The 21,392-nt window shown below is 41.0% G+C and overlaps 1 protein-coding gene and 1 long non-coding RNA gene across 5 annotated transcripts in view, besides 2 other annotated features; one reads left to right on the top strand and one right to left on the bottom strand.

Moving 5' to 3' along the window:
- STX17 (syntaxin 17) overlaps positions 1–731 on the bottom strand; it is a 67,881-nt gene extending 67,150 nt beyond the window's left edge. For 2 of the 4 annotated variants that reach the window (NM_017919.3, XM_047423553.1), the window contains exon 1: positions 679–731. The gene's annotated coding sequence lies outside the window, so the exon portion shown is untranslated. Of the gene's footprint in view, positions 1–181 lie in introns of all 4 variants that reach the window. The other 2 variants (XM_047423551.1, XM_011518821.4) reach the window with 2 other exon arrangements.
- Positions 193–432: an enhancer, noted in NCBI's record as "active region_28716". NCBI's record gives its function as "activates an Ori minimal core promoter by ATAC-STARR-seq in GM12878 lymphoblastoid cells {active_cell/tissue: GM12878}" and the evidence as "EXISTENCE:reporter gene assay evidence [ECO:0000049][PMID:35858748]".
- Positions 593–992: a silencer, noted in NCBI's record as "silent region_20131". NCBI's record gives its function as "represses an Ori minimal core promoter by ATAC-STARR-seq in GM12878 lymphoblastoid cells {active_cell/tissue: GM12878}" and the evidence as "EXISTENCE:reporter gene assay evidence [ECO:0000049][PMID:35858748]".
- Positions 784–21,068, top strand: STX17-DT (STX17 divergent transcript). Its single transcript, NR_038853.1, has 3 exons — positions 784–831; positions 12,380–12,505; positions 20,690–21,068. It is a non-coding gene; the product is annotated as an STX17 divergent transcript (long non-coding RNA).
- The last annotated feature ends 324 nt before the right edge of the window (positions 21,069–21,392 follow it).

Genomic DNA, 21,392 nt, shown 5'->3' with positions numbered 1-21,392 from the left:
GCCCAGAGCTCCCACTTTTCAGGATACTAGTGGCGCCCGATTTCTTCCGGCCCGCCGCTTAATGTTTCTGACTTATGGAAGAGATACCGAATTTGGAGAGAAAAGTCAAAGTAAAGTCTCCTCTCTGAACCTCGGTTAGCTAAAAGGAGGGAGCCAAGGTGTGGGACCTTCTGCCAACCACCTCTGGGTTTGGCGAGCAGGGGCTTCCGGCCTCTCGCTCCCAGTCCTCCGAGCCTCACTACCATCGAGCGTCGCGTCATTCCTCGCAGTGTCACCCACAGCACACCTGGGCCACACACACCAAACGCCCCCACCAGCGAACGGATGCGCGGGTCTGTCCCGGGACCCAGACGCCAGCGACCCTGGCGACCCGGGGCCTACAGCGCGCCAGAGACAGGACGCGCGCCGGAAACTTTTCCACCCCGCGACCCCGGGAGGCCGTCCTGCTCGCATCGTCTGCGGCCTCCCTATACCAGCTTCCAATAAAGCTTCCAAAAACGAAACCAAGCGAGGCTCCGCCACTTCTGAAAAACAGGAGGAGCCACCATGGCGCTCGCACTTCGGATCCAATGCCCTACTTGCCGCCCAGCGCCTCTTGCGCGCGCCACACGGGCGCCAGGCCCACCAAGCCTGTGAGGGCCCGACGCCCCCAAAGGCGGCCTCCAGAGAGCCCCTTACCTCCCGCCGGGGCGCTCGAGGCCGGTCGGTGGGCACGGCGCAGGCGCAGGAGCGACGGGGCGGGGCATCACGAGGGGTGGGCAGGGTTGGGCCCCGCCCCCGCCCCCGCCCCCGCCCCGCAGGGCCCCCAGGCCGGGCGCTGGGGGCGCACAGGTGAGTACAAATGCGGACGCTGCTGAGAACAGCGAAAGCCTTTTTCAAAAGTGATATTGATTTACGTTATGGGGTTGTGACTCGAGCCAAGAGGAGAGAGACGCACAAACGCTCTTTAGGTCTGCTTGTTGTGTTTAAGACAATTCATGCTTGTATGGCCGACTGCATTTCGCAGTTTTCCTGTCCGTTTTCCTCTGTTCTTCCTAGAATTTTATTTGCGGGTTGGGCATGTATTCTTAGCTCTGTTTTGAAACTGAAGCTCAGAAAGGTGGTGCCTCCCCATCCCGTCCCCAAAAGCCCTGTGAAGTGGACAGGGCAGGAGTGCCATCTTAATTGCAACAGGTGTAAAAATTAAAGCTCAGCAAATTGTGGTTTCCTCCAAAAACTGGTGGAGGGCTTAAGGCAAACGTCTTTATCCCGATTTTATAGATTATGACTCTGGGGTTTAACAAAGAGTTTTAAGTGACTCACTCCAGTTCAGCCAGCTTATGGCAGAGCTGGAACTCCAACTGGGTGTCCTAATTTCCTTCCCAAGTTATTCCAGTTAGACCAGCTGCAACCACATGAACAAGCAGGTGGCCGGCTTTGAAGCCTTGTCCAAGTCACAGGTCCTCCTCTCTTCATGGCCTAACTTCCAGATCCAGCCCTTTTAAAAAGATGTCTGTGAATATTCAGATGACGTGCTTAGAATGTATTCACTAATGGCATTGTCTCAGAAGTGATCAGGATGTTCAAACCACAGTTAAGGAAACTGAGTTCTTAGGGTCTTCCAGTAGAGTAGGAGGTAAACAGGGAAGATTAGGGGCCTGTAGATCCTTTAAAAAGCCTTGAAAGACAATTTCTAAAACAAAGCACCAAATCTACCAAGCAATTTGGATTTTCTTTGGGGACATAATGTATACTGATATTTGTTTTACAATGAGCTCCAGAATGTATTTATCAAATTTTGATTCTAAGGAGAAAAATTAAAGTATTAGGCAATACTGTGAGAAAATGTTTTTTATGCAAGGATCAGTGAAATAAGATCTTTTGAAATAAAAGATCATTTGTGTTAAGTTCTGAAAAAGCTTCCTCAGGTACAAAATCAGGAGGTGTGGTACTCAAAGATTCTAAATTTGGACCTGGACTTCTAAGTTGTTATATGTATGTTTGCTGTAAGTTAGGTGTGTCAAAGTAGTAGGATAAACATTTTTTTTTTTTTTTTTTTTTTAGACAGAGTCTTGCTCTTTCGCCCAGGCTGGAGTGCAGTGGCATGATCTCAGCTCACTGCAACCTCCACCTCCCAGATTCAAGCGATTATCCTGTGTCAGCCTCCTGAGTAGCTGGGACTACAGGCGTGTGCCAACATGCCCGGCTAATTTTTTGTATTTTTAATAGAGACAGAGTTTCACCATGTTAGCCAGGATGGTCTTGATCTCCTGACCTCGTGATCCGCCCGCCTCGGCCTCCCAAAGTACTGGGATTACAGGTGTGAGCCACCATGCCCGACCAAAACCTTTTAATCTAACTGTTGGTTAGCTTGATTTATAATCTTTAAATATTCAAACATATGGTGTGTGGACCTCTTTTGTGTACTCTAGGTCATCAAGTTGTTAGGGGCAGGCCTGCTACTACTGGCCGACATTTTCCTGAAGTCCTAACTGAACCCAGCAAGTCCAAACAAAACATTAAGTGTATATGTTGGAAAGAAAATTAAAAAAAATTCTTAGGGTGTTATGATTGATTGCTTTCTTGGAAAATCCATGGAATAAACTGAAACTAATTCAATAAGATGGCTATAAAATACCTCTCCTAAACAACAATCATCAATTTTAAAATGTAATGAGAAGAAGACTGGGCGTGATGGCTCATGCCTATAATCTCAGCACTTTGGGAGGCCAATGAGGGAGGATTGCTTGAGGCTAGAAATTCAAGACCAACCTGGGCAAAATAGTGAGACCCCATTTCTAAAAAAAACAAAAAAAACGTAGCTGGGTATGGTGGCATGTACCTATAATCCCAGCTACTCAGGAGGCTGAAACAGGAGGATCAGTTGAGCCCAGGAGTTTGAGGCTGGAATGAACTATGATCCCACCAGCCTGCACTCCAGCCTGCAGAAAAGACTGACACCCTGTCTCAAAAAAAAAAAAAAAAAAAAAAATTGAAATGTACTGGGAGGAAGATTACATTCAAAAATGACAAAAATCAAGTTTGTGTTTATAAGGAATTACAAGACCTATTTGAAGAATTGAGAATAATAGCTAGATGAGGGATAGGGGTGGAAGGAAGGATCACAAAGGGGCATAAGGAAACTTTGGGAGTGATAGAAATGTTCATTATCTTGATTGTGGTAATAGCTGCATGGACGTATATATATGTCAAAACTTACCAAATTGTACACTGTAAATATGTTTATGTATAAGTGCTTATTGTATGTGAATTATACCTAAATAAAGCCATGTAAAAAGGGAGGGGGGAAGAAGTAGCTTTTTATTTGATTGCATGTGATGTGTAAAGCACTTGGTTAGGCGCTTTACATGCAATATGTTATTTAATACTGATGACAACCCATGAAGTAGGTATTACAATCACCCCCTTCATACAAACTAGGAAATTGAGGCTTAGAGAGTAACTTGACCAAGGTCCAAGTCTCATATACTACATAACAGGAGTAAGACTCAAATCTTACGTAACAGTATTTATACTTTAACCTGACTTCCATATTTCCATATAAGATACAAGTAAAGACTTGACTATGTGGAAAAGTAATACAGTCAATATTGTAAAGTTGTCCATTTCCACCAAACTAACTTAAAAATTTATCAAAATCCCATTATGATTTTTCTCTTTCTTTTTCTTTCTTTCTTGTTTTTCTTTCTTTTCTTTCTTTTTTCCTTCCTTCCTTCCCTTCCTTCCCTTTCTTTTCCTTTCCTTTCTTATTTCCTTCCTTCCTTCCCTTTTTTCCTTTCCTTTCTTATTTCCTTCCTTCCTTTTCCTTTCCTTTCTTATTTCCTTCCCTCCCTTCCTTCCTTCCTTCGTGTTTTGTTTTGAGATAGAATCTTGCTTTGTCACCCAGACTAGAGTGCAATGGGGGTGATCATGGTTCACTGCAGCCTTGACCTCCTCCTGCCTCAGCTTCCCAAGAAGCTGGAACCACAGGTGTATGCCACTATGCTGGGCTAATTTTATTTTTCTAGAAATTGGGACTCCCTGTGTTGCCCAGTCTAGTCTCCAATTCCTGAGCTCAAGTGATCCTCCTACCTCAGCCTCCCAAAGTGCTAGGATTACAGGTGTGTGCCACCACACCAGGCCCCCTTTATGATTTCTATAATAAAACATTTTAAAAAATCCAAATTGATTTTGCAACTATTACTCTTTCTTCTTAGAATGCCATTTTTTGCCTGCTTTCCCCCATCTCTTTCCCCCCACCCCAGAGTAAAGAAATTACTCTTTATTCTGCTGGACTCAAAAGTCATCTCACCTAGGAAGCTTCTCCCACTGATATGGTTTGGCTCTGTGTCCCCACCCAAATCTCATCTTGAATTGTACTTCCATAATTCCTACATGTTGTGGGAAGGACCTGGTGGGATATAATTTGAATCATGGGAGATAATTTGAATCATGGGGGCGATTTCCCCCATACTGTTCTCATGGTAGTAAATAAGTCTCAAGAGATCTGATGGTTTTATCAGGGGTTTCCACACTTTTGCATCTTCCTCATTTTCTCTTGCTGCTGCCATGTAAGAAGTGCCTTTCACCTCCCGCCATGACTCTGAGGCCTCCCCAGCCATGTGGAACTGTAAGTCCAAATACAGTTCTTCTGTATTTCTTCCCAGTCTTGGGTATGTCTTTATCAGCAGCATGAAAATGGACTAATACAGTAAATTGGTACCAGTAGAGTGGGGCGTTGCTGAAAAGGTACCCAAAAATGTGGAAGCAACTTTGGAACTGGTTATCAGGCAGAGGTTGGAACAGTTTGGAGGGCTCGGAAGAAGACAGGAAAGTGTGGGAAAGTTTGGAGCCTCCTAGAGACTTGTTGAATGACTTTGACAAAAATGCTGATCGTGATATTAACAATAAGGTCCAGGCTGAGGTGGTCTCAGATAGAGATGAGGAACTTGTTGGGAACTGGAGCAAAAGTGACTCTCGTTATATTTTAGCAGAGACTGCCAGCATTTTGCCCCTGCCCTGGAGATTTGTGGAGCTTTGAACTTGAGAGAGATGATTTAGGGTATCTGGTGGAAGAAATTTCTAAACAGCAAAGTATTCAAGAGGTGTCTTGGGTGCTGTTAAAGGTATTCAGTTTTATCAGGGAAGCAGAGCATAATAGTTTGGAAAATTTGTAGCCTGACAATGTGACAGAAAAGAAAATCCCATTTTCAGAGGAGAAAGTCAAGCTGTCTGCAGAAATTTGCATAAGTAATGAGGAGCCAAATGTTAATCGCCAAGACAATGGGGAAAATGTTTCCAGGGCATGTGAGAGGTCTTCACAGCAGCTCTTCCCATCACAGGCCTGGAGGCCTTGGAGGAAAATATGGTTTCATGGGCTGGACCAAGGGTCCTCGTGCGTGTACAGCCTAGGAACTTGGTGCCCTGTGTCTCAGCTGCTCCAGCTGTGGCTGAAAGGGGCCAATGTGGAGCTTGGGCTGTGGTTTCAGAGGGTGCAAGCCCCAAGCCTTGGCAGCTTCCACGTGGTTTTGAGCCTGCAAGTGCACAGAAGTAAAGAATTGGGGTTTGGGAACCTCCACCTAGATTTCAGAGGATGTATGGAAATGCCTGGATGCCCAGGCAAAAGTTTGCTGCAGGGGTGGGGTCCTCATGGAGAACCTCTGCTAAGGCCGTACAGAAAGGAAATGTGGGGTCAGAGCCCCCACACAGAGATGCTACTGGGGCACTACCTAGTGGAGCTGTGAGAAGAGGGCCACCGTCCTCTAGTCCTCTAGACCCCAGAATGGTAGATTCACTGATACCTTGCACTGTGCACCTGGAAAAGCCACAGACACTCAACACCAGCCCGTGAAAGCAGCCAGGAGGGGTGGTATACCCTGCAAAGCCACAGGGATGGAGCTGCCCAAGACAATGGAACCTACCTCTTGCCTCAGCATGACCTGGATATGAGACGTGGAGTCAAAGGATATCATTTTGAAGCTGTAGAATTTGACTGCTTTCTGTTACAGGGCACGTGCCCTGTAACCCCTTTGTTTTGGCCAATTTCTCCCATTTGTAACAGCTGCATTTACCTAATACCTGTACCCCATTGTATCTAGAAAGTAACTAGCTTGCTTTTGATTTCACAGATTCATAGGCAGAAGAGACTTGCCTTGTCTCAGATGAGACTTTGGACTGTGGACTTTTGGGTTAATGCTAAAATGAGTTAAGACTTTGGGGGATTGTTGGGAAGGCATAATTGCTTTTGAAATGTGAGGACATGAGATTCGGAGGGTCCAAGGGCTGAATGATATGGTTTGGCTCTGTGTCCCCACCCAAATATCATCTTGAATTATACTCCCGTAATTCCCACGTGTTGTGGGAGGGACCTGCTGGGAGATAATTTGAATCATGGGGGCAGTTTCCTCCATACTGTTCTCGTAGTAGTGAATAAGTCTCGTGAGATCTGATGGTTTTATCAGGGGTTTCCGCTTTTGCATCTTCCGTATTTTCTCTTGTCACCACCATGTAAGAAGTGCCTTTCACCTCCTGCCATAATTCTGAGGCCTCCCTAGCCATGTGGAACTGTAAGTTCAATTAAATCTTTTTTTCTTCCCAGTCTCGGGCATGTCTTTATCAGCAGCGTGAAAACAGACTAATACTCTCACCCTCTCAAGTCCAGGTTTAATGTCCCCTTATAAGCTACTACAGCAATCTATGCTTATCCCTATAAAGGTCCTTATCATAATTAGTTGAATTCTTCATCTTCTTATCTGTGACTCTACTAGATTCTAAGTTTCTTGAGGAAAGATATACATTATTATTTACTTAGAACCTAGTACGGTTCCTGGAACATCCTAGGAAAACAATGTATTTTACATGAATTAAGAAATAAATTTTCTAGTATCATAAAGCAAGTATATGAAGAATCTGAAATAAAATCCAAATTTGGCACAATGGTATAGACCTAATAGGTTATCTTCCTGGCCCATTACTTTTCTGAGAACTGCAAAGAAAAGCCCAGGAACTGCTCCTCCCCTCCAGATCTGAATGCTAACAGTTATGAGTCTCTGTTGTACCAGCATGAACCCCTTCCTACCCTTGACCAGAGGGAATTGGTCCAGGAGCAGACACCTGAGTGGGCTTTTCTTTGCTGGAAGCCTTTTTATTATAGCTTCAATCTCATTACTTATGATTGGTGTGTTCAGGTTTTTGACTTCTTCATGGTTCAATCTTGGCAGGTTGTATGTGTCTAGAAATTTGTCCATTTATTCTAGATTTTCTAATTTATTGGCATATACTTGCTCATAGTAGTCTCTAATGATCTTTTGAATTTCTGCAGTTTAGATTATAGTGTCTCCTTTTTCATCTCTGATTTTATTTCTTTGGGTCTTCTGTCTTTTTTCTTAGTCTAGCTAAAAGTTGATTGACTTTATTTATCTTTTCAAAAACCACCTTATCATTTTATTGATTTTTGTATTGTTTTGTTCATTTTTATATCATTTATTTCTGCTCTGATTTTTATTATTTATTTTCTTCTACTAATTTGAGGTTTGGTTTGCTCTTGTTTTCTAGTTCTTTAAGATGCATTGTTGGGTTGTTTGAAGTTTTTCTCCTTTTTTATTAGGTGGTTATTGCTATAAACTTTCCTCTTAGTACTGCTTCTGCTGTATCTCATGGCTTTTGGTGTGTCATGTTTCCATTTTCATTTGTTTTAGGAAATTTTAAATTTCCTTCTTAATTTTTTTATTGACCTGCTGGTCATTCAAGAGCCTATTATTTAATTTCTATGTGTTTGTATAGTTTCCAAAGTTCCTCTTGTTTTTGATTTATAGTTTTATTCCATTATGGTGAGAGAAGGCACTTGATATTATTCTGATTTTTTTGAGTGTTCTAAGACTTGTTTTGTGACCTAATATATGACCTATCCTTGAGAATGATTCATATAATAAAGAGAAGAATGTGTATTCTACAGGCATTAGATGAAATGTTCTGTAAATATCTATTAAGTCCATTTGGTCTATAGTACAGATTAAATCCAGTGTTTCCTTGTTGATTTTCTGTCTGGGTGATGTGTCCAATGCTGAAAATAGGGTGTTGAAGTCTCCAGCTATCATTGTATTGGGGTCTATCTCTGACCTTAGTTTTAATAATATTTGCTTTGTATACCTGGGTGCTCTCCCGTGTTAGGTGCATATATGTTTAGAATTACTAAATTCTCTTGCTGAATTGACCCCTTTATCATTATATAATGACCTTCTTTGTCTCTTTTTATAGACTTTGTCTGAAATCTTTTGTCTAATAAAAATATAGCTGCTCCTGCTTGTAATCCCAGCACTTTGGGAGGCTGAAATGGGCAGATAACTTGAGGTCGGTAGTTCAAGACCAGCCTGGCCAACATGGTGAAACCCCATCTCTACTGAAAATACAAAAATTCACCAGACGTGGTGGCATGTGCCTGTAATCCCAGCTATTCAGGAGGCTGAGGTGGGAGAATTGCTTGAACCCAGTAGGGCAGAGGTTGCAGTGAGCTGAGATCATGCCACTGCACTCCAGCCTGGGCAACAGAGCGAGACTCCATCTCAAAAAAAAAACAAAAAACAAAAAGCGTATATGGCTGCTCCTGCTCCTTTTTTGTTTGTTTCAATTGGCAAGGAATATTTTTTTCCATCTCTTTATTTTCAATCCATGTGTCATTATAGGTAAACTGTGTTTCCTGTAGACAACAGATCTTTGTGTCTTTTTTAATTAGTTCAACTACTCTGTGTCTTTTTGATTGGTGAGTTTAGTCCATTTATATGAAATGTTACTATCAATAAGTAAGGACTTACTTCTGCCATTTTATAATTTGTTTTCTTGTTGTTTTGTGGTCTTCCCTCCCTGCCTGCCTGCTTTCTTTCCTCCCTCCCTCCCGCCCTTCCTTCCTTTTGTGAAGAGTATTTTCTCTGGTGGTATGTTCCAATTTCTTGCTTTTTACTTTTTGTGTATCTGCTGTAGGTTTTTAAATTTGAGGTTCTCATGAGGCATGGAAATAACAGCTTATAACCCATTATTTTAAGCTGATAACAACTAAACACTGGTTGTAAAAACAAACAAATAAGCAAAGAGAAGAGTAATAAAAACTCTACACTTCAACTTCACTTTACACTTTAACTGCTTGCTTTTTAACTTTTTGGTGTTCTTATTTATATCTTACACTGTCCGTGTCTTGAAAAGTTGTTGTAATTATTATTTTTGATAGGTTCATATTTTAGTATTTCTGCTCAAGACGTGAGTAATTTCCATACCACAATTACAGTGTTACGATATTCTGTGTTTGGCTGGGCACAGTAGCTCATGCCTATAACCCCAGCACTTTGGGAGGGCAAGACAGTTTTGGCCATGTTGCCCAGGCAGTCTGAACACCTTGAGCCCATGTGTTTGAGACTAGCCTGGGCAACATGGCAAGACCCTGTCTCTTCAAAAATTTTTAAAAAAATAAGCCAGGCACTGTGGCATGAGCCTGTGGTCCCAGCCACTTGGAAGGCTGAGGTGGGAGGATCACCTGAGCCCAGGAGTTGAGGATGCAGTGAGCTGTGTTATTAATAGCACCACTGCACTGCAGGCTGGGTGGGCAACAAAGCTAGACCCTGTCTTAAGAAAAAACTTCCGTTTTTGCCTGTTTACTTATTATTACCAGTGAGTTTTGTACCTTCAGATCACTTCTTATTGCTTAACATCCTTTTCTTTCAGATTGAAGGACTCCCGTTAGCATTTCTTGTAGGACAAGTTCGGTGTTGATGAAATCCCTCAGTTTTTCTTTCTCTGGGAAAGTCTCTATTTATTCTTCATGGTTGAAGGATATTTTTTACCGGATATACTATTCTAGGATAAACGTGTTTTCTTCATCACTTTAAATATGTCATGCCACTCTGTCACACCATATGTACTGCCATGTCAAACCTGTAAGGTTTCCACTGAGAAGTCTGCTGCCAGACATATTGGAGCTCCTTTGTATGTTATTTGGTTCTTTTCTTTGGCTGCTTTTAAGGTTCTTCCTTTCCTTCACCTTTGCGAGTTTGATTATTAAATGCTTTGAAGTAATGTTCTTTGGGTTAAATCTGCTTGGTGTTCTATAATCTTCTTGTGCTTAAATACCTATATCTTTCTCTAGGTTTGGAATGTTCTCTGTTATTATCCCTTTTAATACATTTTCTACCCCAATCTCTCTCTACCTTTTCTTTAAAGCCAGTAACTCTTAGATTTGCCCTTTTGAGGCTATTTTCTAGATCCTGTAGGCATGCCTTATTCTTTTTTATTCTTTTTCATTTTGTCTCCTGTGACTGTGTATTTTCAGGTAGCCTATCTTCAGGCTCACTCATTCTTTCTTCTGCTTGATCAGTTCTGTTGTTGAGATACTCTGATTCCTTCTTCAGTATGCCAGCTGAATTTTTTAGCTTCAGAATTTCTGCTTGGTTTTTAAAAATTATTTGAATCTCTGTTAAATTTATCTGATATGATTCTAAATTCCTTCTCTGTGTTATCTTGAATTTTGTTGTACTTCCTCAAAAGAGCTATTTTGAATTTTCTGTCTGAATGTTCATGTAATTCTGTCACTCCAGAATTGGTCACTGGTGCCTTATTTATGTTGTTTAGTGAGGTCATGTTTTCCTTGATGGTCTTGATGCTTGTGGATATTCAGCAATGTCTGGGCATTGAAGAGTTAGGTGTAGTCTTTGCAGTCTGGGCTTGTTTGTACCTATCCTTCTTGGGAAGGATTTCCAGGTATTCAGAGGGAATTGAGTGTTGTGATATAAGTCTCTGTTCACTGCAAGCATATCTGCATTAGGGGCCACCCTAAGCCCAGTAGTGCTGTGACTCTTGCAGACTCGTAGATGTACTGCCTTGGTGGTCTTGGGTAAGATCTGAGAGAATTCCCTGGATTACCAGACAGAGACTCTTGTTCACTTTTCTTACTTATCCCAAATAAATGGAGTCTCTCCATGATGAGCTTCCTGGATCTGGGGGAGGAGTGACACAAGCACTCCCGTAACCACCACCACTGGGACTGTGCTGGGTCATACCTGTGGCCAGCATAGCACTAGGTCTCGCCCAAGGCCTGCAGCAGCCACTCTGGCTACTGCCAGTGTTCACTCAAGGCTCAAGGGCTCTTCAGTCAGCAGGTGGCAAATCCAGCTAGCCTTCTGTCCTTCCCTTCAGGACTATAGGCTCCCCTCAGCCCAGGGCAGGTCCAAAAATGCTATCTGGGAGCCAGGGCCTGGAGCTGGGAACCTTAGGCAGCTCCTTAGTGCTCTATTTTACTGTGGCTGAGCTAGCACCTAGGCCACAAGATAAAGTCCTTTCCACTCTTACCTCTCCTTTCCTCAAGAAGAAGGAGTTTCTCCCCATGGCCACCACCACCCCAGGCCTATGGCAAGTACTGCTTGGTTTACCCAAGTCCCAAGGGCTCTTCAGTCAGCTTGCAGTGAATGCTGCCAGGCCTGGGTCTCTCTTTAGGGCAGTGTGCTCCCCTCTGGCCCAGGGTTAGTTGAGGAATACCATCTAGGAGCAAAGTCCTGGAATCAGAGACCCCAGGAGCGCACTTGGTGCTTTACCCTACTGCGGCCAAGCTAGCTGCAAGGCTTACTCTTCCCTCTCCTTTCGTTAAACCGAAGGAGTATCTCTCCGTAGCCACTACAGCTGGGAATGTGCTGGGTCACACCTGAAGCTAGCACAGCACTCAGTCTCATCCAAGTCCTGTGACAAGTACTGCCTTGCTGCCGCTGGTGTTTATTCAAGGCCCAAGTGCTCTTTAGTCAGCAAGAGATGAATCCTGCCATAACTGTGTCCTTCTCTTTAAGGCAGAGGGTCCCCTTCTGGCCCACAGTGTCTAGAAATGTTGTTCAGGAACTAGGACTGGTTTGGGGGCTTCAGTACTCTTCCTGGTACCCTGTTCTACTGTGGCCAAGATGGTATACAAGTTGCAAGACAGAGTCTTCTTTACTCTTCCCTCTCTCTCCTCAAGTGGAAGGAAGGAATCTCTTTTGGAGCTGCAAACTGTTCTGCCCAGGGTTAAGGGAGGTTTGACATAAGCACTCCCTTGACCACCCCAGCTGGGGTCTCACTAGGTCACGTTCCCCCCAGGTCCACTGGCTCTGAGTCCAGCACAGTACCAGGACTTCCCCAGGAAATGCAGTCCTTGTTGCTTAGACTGCCTTTCAAGTTTATTTAGGGTCCTAGAGCACTTTAGCCCATGGTCATGTGGCTTGCTGGAACTCAGGTTCTGACTATTGGGATGGATGATCCCCCTCTGGCTAGGGCTGGTCTAAATGCTCCCTCTTTGAGCACCAGCTAAATTCTTTCTTGTGTTGCTTTCCACTGTGACAGGCAGCACTGAGTTCCAATGCAAAGTCTCACAATCACTGTGCTCTTCCTCCCCCAGGCATACAGATTCTCTCTCCTCACCACGCGGCTGCTGCTGGAGGATGGAGGAGGGGTGGTGTCAGCAATTCAAGACTGTCTTTCCTACCCTCTTCAGTGCCCTTCCTTGATAAGCTGTTTAAACCAGGTACTGTGATCACTCACCTGATTTTTGGTTCTTACAAAGGGGCTTTCTTGTGTGGATAGTTTTTCAGTTTGCTCTTCCTGGAGGGGAGATGTTCATGGAAGGTGTCTGGCTCCACCTCCCTCCAATCTATCCCTCATTTTTCTTTGTTTTAACTAGCTCAAATGAACTTCTACTTTCAATCTAGATAATTGTAACTATTGTAGACACAAAATCCCATGTTTCTACTATCTTATGATATCAATTTAAACATATTTATATAATGAATCCACTGACTTTAGTACTTAAACCTCACCACTGTCTGCTTTATTGTCCTCTGCCACCACACACACCATCACCAAACAGTTCATATATATAGTAAGGTTAAAGAGGCTTTATAGCAAACCCAAATGAGTAAACACTTTCCCATTCACTACAGAGGAATTTGATAATCATTTTATATATGGAGTGGCTTAAATGCCCAGACATCTGCTTATAAATTTCGTTCCCTTTTTCCCTCTTCCCCTTTTTTGTTCTTTAGATTAGCTAGTTTAGTTATTCTCACAACTTAGTGTGCCCAAGAATTATTGCATAAAATAGTATTTATAAAGTCATGCTTAACAAACCTTTTGGACAATTTAAAGAATTTTCAAGGGTAATTTTGACTATGTAATTTTTGCTTTGTTCACTGACTTTAATTCCTCTTATTCACATCCCTTACCATCCTAACTCCTCATCAAACATGGAACTTTACACTATGCTTACAATGAGAACACAGTAAACAAACAGCATTAAAATTATATCAAATGTTATTTTTACCTTAGCAGTTTGCAAGGCACTTTGGATTTTGTAATACCTTAGTTATTATTATTATGAATGTCAATAATATCACATGGTAGATGAACAAACACGCAAGTTAATAGAAATTCCACATGAGCCCAACCTTATTTTCTAACTTTATTTCCAGTTACTTTCCATCATACATCTTTAGTTCTAACCAGATTGAAATTCTCAGTGTTTTTTAATCCCAATGCTTTCCCCAATCCTATCCTGTGCCTGCCACCTGGGATATTCTCTACCAATTGCTCTTCCCTCTAAGTATGTCCAAATCATACTCATCTTTCTATGTTCATACCAACTATGGCCTCTCCTAATATTTCTAGAATTTCTAGATTTAATGCCTCCTTCCTCCAAATGACTACCTTATAATGTGGACTTTCTGGTATTTTTGACCCATCAGTCTACATTTTAGTACAGTAATTTGGTATGTGTCCTGTTGTCCCTCCAGTGCTTTAAACCTTTCAGCTCTCTGTTTAAAGTAATAACAGTAACAATATATTGGGTGATGATAGCTTATGGATAAGTCAAATGAATGGCATAAATGCTTTAAGGGATGGGAGGGAGGAATTGGGAATAAGGTAACTGCACTACCTCTAGAGTGGCATTTTGTTACTTGAAAGTGGACTTAGATCAGTTGTGAATGTATATTGAAAACTCTAGGGCAACTACCTAAAAAATTCAAAAAGAAGTGTAATTGATATGCAAAAGAAGATAGAAAAGAAGGGGGAGCAAAAATAAACAAAGAACAAGTGCAATGAGTAGAAAACATTAGGAACATGTAGATGTTAAACCAAATACATCAATAGCCACTTTAAGTGTGAATTGTCCAAATATATCAATTTTTTGTGAGTGTGATTGTCAGACAATAAAAAACAAGACCCATATGTTGTCTACAAGAAACTCACTCTACAAAGACACGAGTAGGTTAAAAGTAATGGAATGGTGGAAGAGATACCATGCTGTATTCATTAGCTAGGGCTTCCATAACAAAGTTCTAGAAATTGGTGGCTTAAACAAGGGAAATTTATGTTCTCACAATCTGGAGGTTAGAAGTCTGAGATCAAGGAGTTGGCAGAATTATTTTTTTCCGAGGATCATGAGGGAAGGATCTGTTCTTAGCCTCTCTCCTTGGCTTGTAGATGGCCATCTTCTCCCTCTTGAGAAGAATATAGAGTTCCCTCTGTTCGTATCTGTGTCCAAATTTCCTCTTCATATAAGGACACTAACCATAGTGGATTAGGGCCCATTCTTATGACCTTATTTTAATTTTATACCTCTTTAAAGACCCTGTATCCAAATATACAAGTCACATTCTGAGGTATTGGGAGTTAGAACTTCAACAATAAAAATCTGGGGGAGGGGACACAATTCAACCCATAATATATGCTAACACTATTCAAAAGAAAGCTGGAGTAGCTCTATTAATTGCAGTCAATGCAGACTTCAGAACAAGGAAAATTATCAGGGATGAAGAAGAGCACTTACCTAATGATAAATGGTTCAATTCTCCAAGAGGACAAAACAATCCTTAATGTGTACACACCTAACAACAGAGCATCAAAATATATGAGGCAAAAACCAATACAAATGCACGGAGTAATAGACAAGGTGCCTTACAAATAGAATTTGGGAGCAACGGTGCAAAAATTAATTTCCTTAAACATGTTATTTCTTCCAGGGGCAACAGGATTGTTAAAGAACCAAGGAAGTATAACAATAGGGCAAAATTATTCCTGAGATAACAAATATTTCAAGATTCCTGTCGGAGAAGCTGTTGGAGCTCTCTTTTACAGGATTATAGAATCTATCCTCAGTCCTTTGACAACTGACACTCTCACCAGTAAACCTTTTAATCCCCCAAGTAGTGGAATACATTTAAGGAACTGGAAATCGTCAAAATTCACAAAGAGCACCACCCTCTCTCCTCTTATCCCAGGAAGCCCCAAATTCTATTGTCATATCCCTTAAGGGATTTTTTCCCCTTTTGTAGGCTTCAGTTGTTTTTAGGAGCTTTTTGAGTAATATTTATACTTCTAGCCAAAGATACATTAACTTTAATATTTCCTTGGCAGATTAGTACTAAAGAGAGAAATGTTGCTTGTTTCACAGAAATAAATTGATAGGTTCAGCAACTGTCATTTTGCTTATATAAGTGAACACTTCAGAAGAGAAGTGTTTTGAACCTGAGCAAATGGTTTTAAATATGGAAAAAAATTTCCCGAATCCCAGTACCTAAACATTAAAGGACATAATTGATATCTTTAAATCTTTCCAACATCTGGTAAGTGCTTTCTCATTCACTCATTCAGTCTGCACCACCAGCATGTCAGCCACTGTGCTGAGTCCTGGTGATTGAAAGTTTAAAAAGATCCTGTTTCTGTCTTCCAGGGGTTGACAGTCTGGGAGGGAACACAGACATGTTACTAAATACAGTATAATTAATAACTGTTAGATTAGCTGTCCCTATAAAAATGCTATAGAAAGACACACAGAGCTGGCAACTTAAGAGTTTAGTCAGTACATGGGCATTATCACAGAAGGAAGAAATAGCATTCTCAACGGAGAGAACATATGTAAAAAGCACAGGAAAAAAATGCAACAGTGGTGTGTCCAGCTCCCTCAGAGTAGTGGGAGTAACAAGAGGAGACTCTTAAACTCAACTTGATTTAGGATGAATAATTTAAGTGGCTTGTCTGTGCAGCTTTCTGCTTCATAGTTAACACCTACAAGTGCTAAAGCATAAAATCAGAGAAGGCTGCCCAAAAACAGGATGAGTAACTACCTCAGAGGTATTTATCAAAGTTCATATTGATCATGTTTCTATTTGTTTCAGATCTTATCATGGCACAATTTGATTTTTATCTTTATTGTGTTCTCTCCATCTAAGACACATACTGTATAGACTCACAAACTCATAACACCTACAGATTACTTGTGGGGGCTTCTGAGGCCTTCCACCAATTTTTTTTTTAATTTCAAAAACATTTTAAGAGACAGGGTCTTGCTATATTGCCCAGGCTCGAGTGCAGTGGCTATTCACAGGTGCAATCGTAGTACAAATGTGTCTGGCTTCACATTTAAGTTTAAATCTCCAGCCTCGCCAGGTGCAGTGGCTCACGTCTGTAACCCAAGCACTTTGGAAAGCTGAGGCAGGAGGATCGCTTGAGTCCAGGAGTTTGAGACCAGCCTGGGCAACATGAGACCCCATCTCTACAGAAAATTTTAAAAGTAATAATTAAAAAATAAAAACCTCCTGCCTCATAGGCTACTATTTTCTGAACCAGGTTCCTATAGTTCCTCAATATCCCATCCACTTTCTTGCCTCTATGCCTTTGCTCAAGCTATACCGCTTTGGAATGCCTTCTTCCTCTTTTCCATTGATCAGAACTTTATCCCTCCTTGAAGACCTACCTCAAATGTATTTTCTTCTCCAAAATCTTCCCTCATTTCCCCAGCCTGTGCTCCCATAATACCTTGATTTAATTTTGCTCTGTGTTATAGTAATTCACATACCCGTCTTTCCAGATAGAGCAGAAACTTTTTGAGGGCAGGGACTTTGTCATAATTATTTTGTGTTCCCAGCACCTGGTACATGACTGGGAATGTGGCACTTGATAAATATTTGTTTTAAATGACCTGTTCGTCTCATTGCCTTTGTGTTCTCATTAGTGTCCTCTCCAGTTTCATAACTGAGTTTCTCCAGCTGAGCAAACCTTCTGAAGCTCAATTGATGACTGAGGCTGAGATTAGAGGAAGAATAAAAAACTACCTGAGGCACAGGGTCACCACCCTGACAGCACAGCGAATCACTTAGAAACCTTTTAAAAGATGTAGTTGCTCCCAGCACTTTGGGAGGCCGAGGCGGGTGGATCACGAGGTCAGAAATTCGAGAACAGCCTGGCCAACATAGTGAAATCCCATCTCTACTAAAAATACAAAAAATTAGCTGGGCGTGCTGGGGGGCACCTGTAATCCCAGCTACTCCAGAGGCTTGGGCAGGAGAATCACTTGAACCTGGGAGGTGGAGGTTACAGTGAGCCAAGATCGCGCCATTGCACTCCAGCCCAGCGACAGTGTGAGACTCCGTCTCAAAAAGAAAAAAAAAAAAAGATGTAGTTGTCTGGGCCCCACCTTCAGAGATCTTGACTTACTTGTCCTGGAGTAGAAACCAGGTGTCAATATATTTTCTGTAAACAATTCTAAAGTATAGTCAGTTTTGGGAACTACAGATCTGAAGGGTGGATGGGAAATTATTGCTGGGCCCCATATATAAGTTAGAATAATTTCTAATTTGCTTTTCTCAAAAGGTAATGCTTTTCACAGAAAAACATAGCTAAAAGAATGGAGACCACACAGTCTGGATGAAGTCGACCTTTTTTCCAGAGAAATCTTTGCCATCAGGAGCCTGAGTTACGCTATGGGGGGAATCACACAATTGGCATGATACTCACCTTTGAGTTCCTGCTTAGCATGTCTAGAGAATCCCAGTGCTCCCCGTCATATATATCTTTAAAATCTTATTCAAGGAAAAGCCATAAAGTGAACTGAAATCAAAATGCCAAGCACCAAATCATGAAATGAGTAATGAAAGCTTGAAAGTTTCCAGTTCCCTTGAGGGTCTCGACATGGATGTCCCCTGTGACATGCAGTCAGTGCAATGGGAGAACAGGGCCAGATACCATGAGGAGGACCCCATGTTACATAACTCCAAGGCCATGTGCACAGTATGGGCCATGTGAAGAGTGCCCCCTGGAGTTGTGTAGTGCTGCATCTTAGCACAGGGACTTTCCAGTCCTCACACCAAAAAGATTTCTGGTGGTGGCCTCCAGTTTGGTTCTGTTCTCCAGCCTTCTTCTGGCTTGGAGCTGTCACTCAGAACCAAGGTGAAGGATGAAGAGTCTCCTCATCAAAATCTCTCTGCTGGGGTCTTTTCCTACCTGAGGATGTCTTCACCAGAAATTCCCCTAACTGGCAGCTCTTGTCAACACATTCTGGATCCCCCTGATGGACTCCAGCTAGACTTGATTCTTAAATCAGTCACTGTAGCAGAGTTTCAGAAAGGATTTAAGTTCCTTTTCGTCACCACTACTCCTGGTTCTCTTTCACCATTGATCAAAGTGTCCATAGAGCAGGAGAGTACATACTTTATTTTCAGATTAGGGCCGTTTCAGGGTGTGTGTGTGTGTGTGTGCGTGTGCATGTGTGTGTGCATGTGCGTGTGTGAAATTTAACAGTCTAAGGGCAAAGAAGTAAAATAAAGCAGTATTATTTATTTAAAAATTACCCCAGAACCTTCCAGAGAGTAGGAACCTTAAAAATGTTAGTTTCTATTGTTCTTGGCAGATGATAAAATGAATGCAGTGATGGTGGTGAAATCTACTGAGTAGCTTTCACTTTTTATATTTTTAGAGAGAGCGGAGAAAGCAGCAGGGTCCTCACAGTAAGGGGAGGATTAATTTTTTCCAAATGAAGTTGTAAAAATCAAAAAAATAGGAATTTTGGTTGAGAAACCATTTTTTATAAACTGTAAAGGACTATGTAAAATGAATGGAGTTATTTTGATAAGAGATGCCAAACTGAATGCCACAAGGGTTTGAAGAAGAGAAAGAGACCACAACCTGTTGTGGAAATCAGGAGGAAATGTTATCTCCCATTTAATAAGGATGTGATCTTGTACAAGATGTGATTTCTGCGTTGTGGAGCTGGGACCATGATCCCTGCCCTGACTACAAAGCAAGGCTGATTATGAGAATAGAATTGGATTTTTTGTGTCTGCACTTTGTGTCTGCACAATACAAATGCAAAGTGATGTTATTGTAGCTGTTATTGGTGATGAAGATATTATTATTGATTTTGAAGAAATTGGCCAGCATTTAACAGAGCTGGCAGGGGAAGGCCTTACAGGTAGAGAAAAGAGGACTGGAGAGGTTTCTGCCAATTTTCTTGGGTGATTGAGAGTCCCTGTATAAAAGAGTTGTTTCTGAGCATCTGTTGACACCTACATTGTCACTGGACCTGTGGCAATGCTAGTAATACGATATTGAATAAGAAATGCTATCTGCCTTCAGGGAGCTCACCTTGACTTGGTTTTAAGGATGGCTTCAAATATCAGATCAAGAAATGTATAGTTAATGTATAGGCAGTGGAGAGCCACTGAAGGTTTTAGAGCAGAGGAATGACATATTTTAGGCCCTCCTAACAAAATACAGTACTTAATTCAGCTTTCAAGCAGCTTACCACCAGGAAGTATTTTTGGCTAGCAGGTGATTGAGCTCTGCAAGCCCCAGGCTTCAAGAACCTGGAGTGTTGTACCCCTCTAAATAGCACTTTTTAAAAAACTTGTGAATAATGGAACTGATTGTTTCTTTCTTTGCAATGACTGTTAGAAAGCCTAAGCTAAATTTAACCAAGTACATAGGACTTCAAAGCATGAATATGAATCCCTGCTTCAGCTCTGGCTAATTTTTCCCACATTCACTTTATTTTTAATCCTTCCCTTGCTTTTATAAAATGTTGTTGAATTATATGTAGTTTTGTAAATCAGGAAAAAGATTAATTATAAATAGATAAATATCATTTCTTATTTTTTCTTATTTAATTAACTTTTGGTGAAGATTATTTGAAATGTCCACAGGAGACATTTGCATGGATGAGGTATATTGGAAAAGTAATGTTACAGATGTTACTTTCTAACATTACTGCTCATCTCCTAACTTAAAATTCTGTTAAAGTCATGTATAATATAACACTTGAATATGATGTGAACCTATCAGCAACAATATTTTTGCATTTAAAGTTTGAATTCTGCTTTCAAAAGAATTTAACAAAAGATACCAACTTAAAACTACCTAAATATTTGTTCCCCTGTGTTTTTAAAATTCTGTTTAAGTTTAAATAAAGGAGCTATGATTTATAGCCTATCAGACGTTAGAAGATAAAATCTGCTATCCTGATTTTAAAAATCATACATATAAAAATTCATTTGAAATGAAATGAAATCTGTTCTGTAACTAAAAGTTACTTATAATGCTTGGATTACATTGCTAGATCAGAAGAAAGGAAGGTATAGAAAAGTCTGTATGTATTTCTGTGTTCAATCTGCCTTATCATTTGAAACTTACATTTTTAAACATTTGAAAGCAAGACAATATTTAAGAATTTGAAAAGTATTAAGGACACTTTTCTCTATTAAAAATTTCTCTTTAGAGATTGCTTTTAGGGCCAATTTACAAGACCCACAACTAAATTGTTTTTTTTTTAATTTTTTTTGGTTTATACGTATACCCTAATCTTTGCATTCCTCTTTCCCTCTACCCCGTCCTTCAATTGACTAGGTGATCAAAGTTTATCTCTTTTTGTTTCTGATAGAACCGACTGTTTCTGGAAAAGGTAAACATCTATTCTCCAAAGGGCAGTGACTTTCTACCTGTGAAAATAAAAAGTAAACTTCAGAAGAAAATTCTGAAAGAGGAATTTAGAGATGTTCCAAATAAAGGCAATATAGTTTCACTGGAACTGAAATGTTGCCTTCCAATTCTACTACAGAAGGCAGAGTGGCACATGTGGCACCTGGTCAGGATGGACTCACTAAAGGATTTAACCCAGACTTCTGATCAACAAATATTGCTGCTACATTAACTGATTCGCAACAAAGAAAGAAAATATCATCCAGTTGATTTTATTATTTAAATATGGGCTCAAATCTTAAATCTGACAAACTAATAAATAAATATGTCTGAAAAGTAAATAGTAAATGGTGAACTGGTATGGCTGAGGCATTTGTACTGAACCCATGCTGCTTCCTGGAGATCACTGCATTCTTTTCTGTGCTCAGTAATCTACTTAAACTATGTCAGAGATTCGCCTGAGACTTACTTTCCTGTCCTTTCTGGCTCATATTATTTCTTTATTTAGAAAATCAGAACATTTGTTTGTTTTTAGGGTTCAAGCACCTCTTCTCATCTCTATAATGTCTCCAAATGTCTCAGAGGATCCCTAACACTATCTGTGTTTCTTGCACATTATGGTATAATTTATCTGTGTCTAGAGATCTGAAGTCAGGCAAAGTAGT

Source organism: Homo sapiens, chromosome 9 (assembly GCF_000001405.40).
Source record: "Homo sapiens chromosome 9, GRCh38.p14 Primary Assembly".
Classification (NCBI taxonomy): Eukaryota; Metazoa; Chordata; class Mammalia; order Primates; family Hominidae; genus Homo; species Homo sapiens.
The sequence above is the reverse complement of the archived record's forward strand: the minus strand, read 5'-3'. Positions and strand labels throughout refer to the sequence as shown.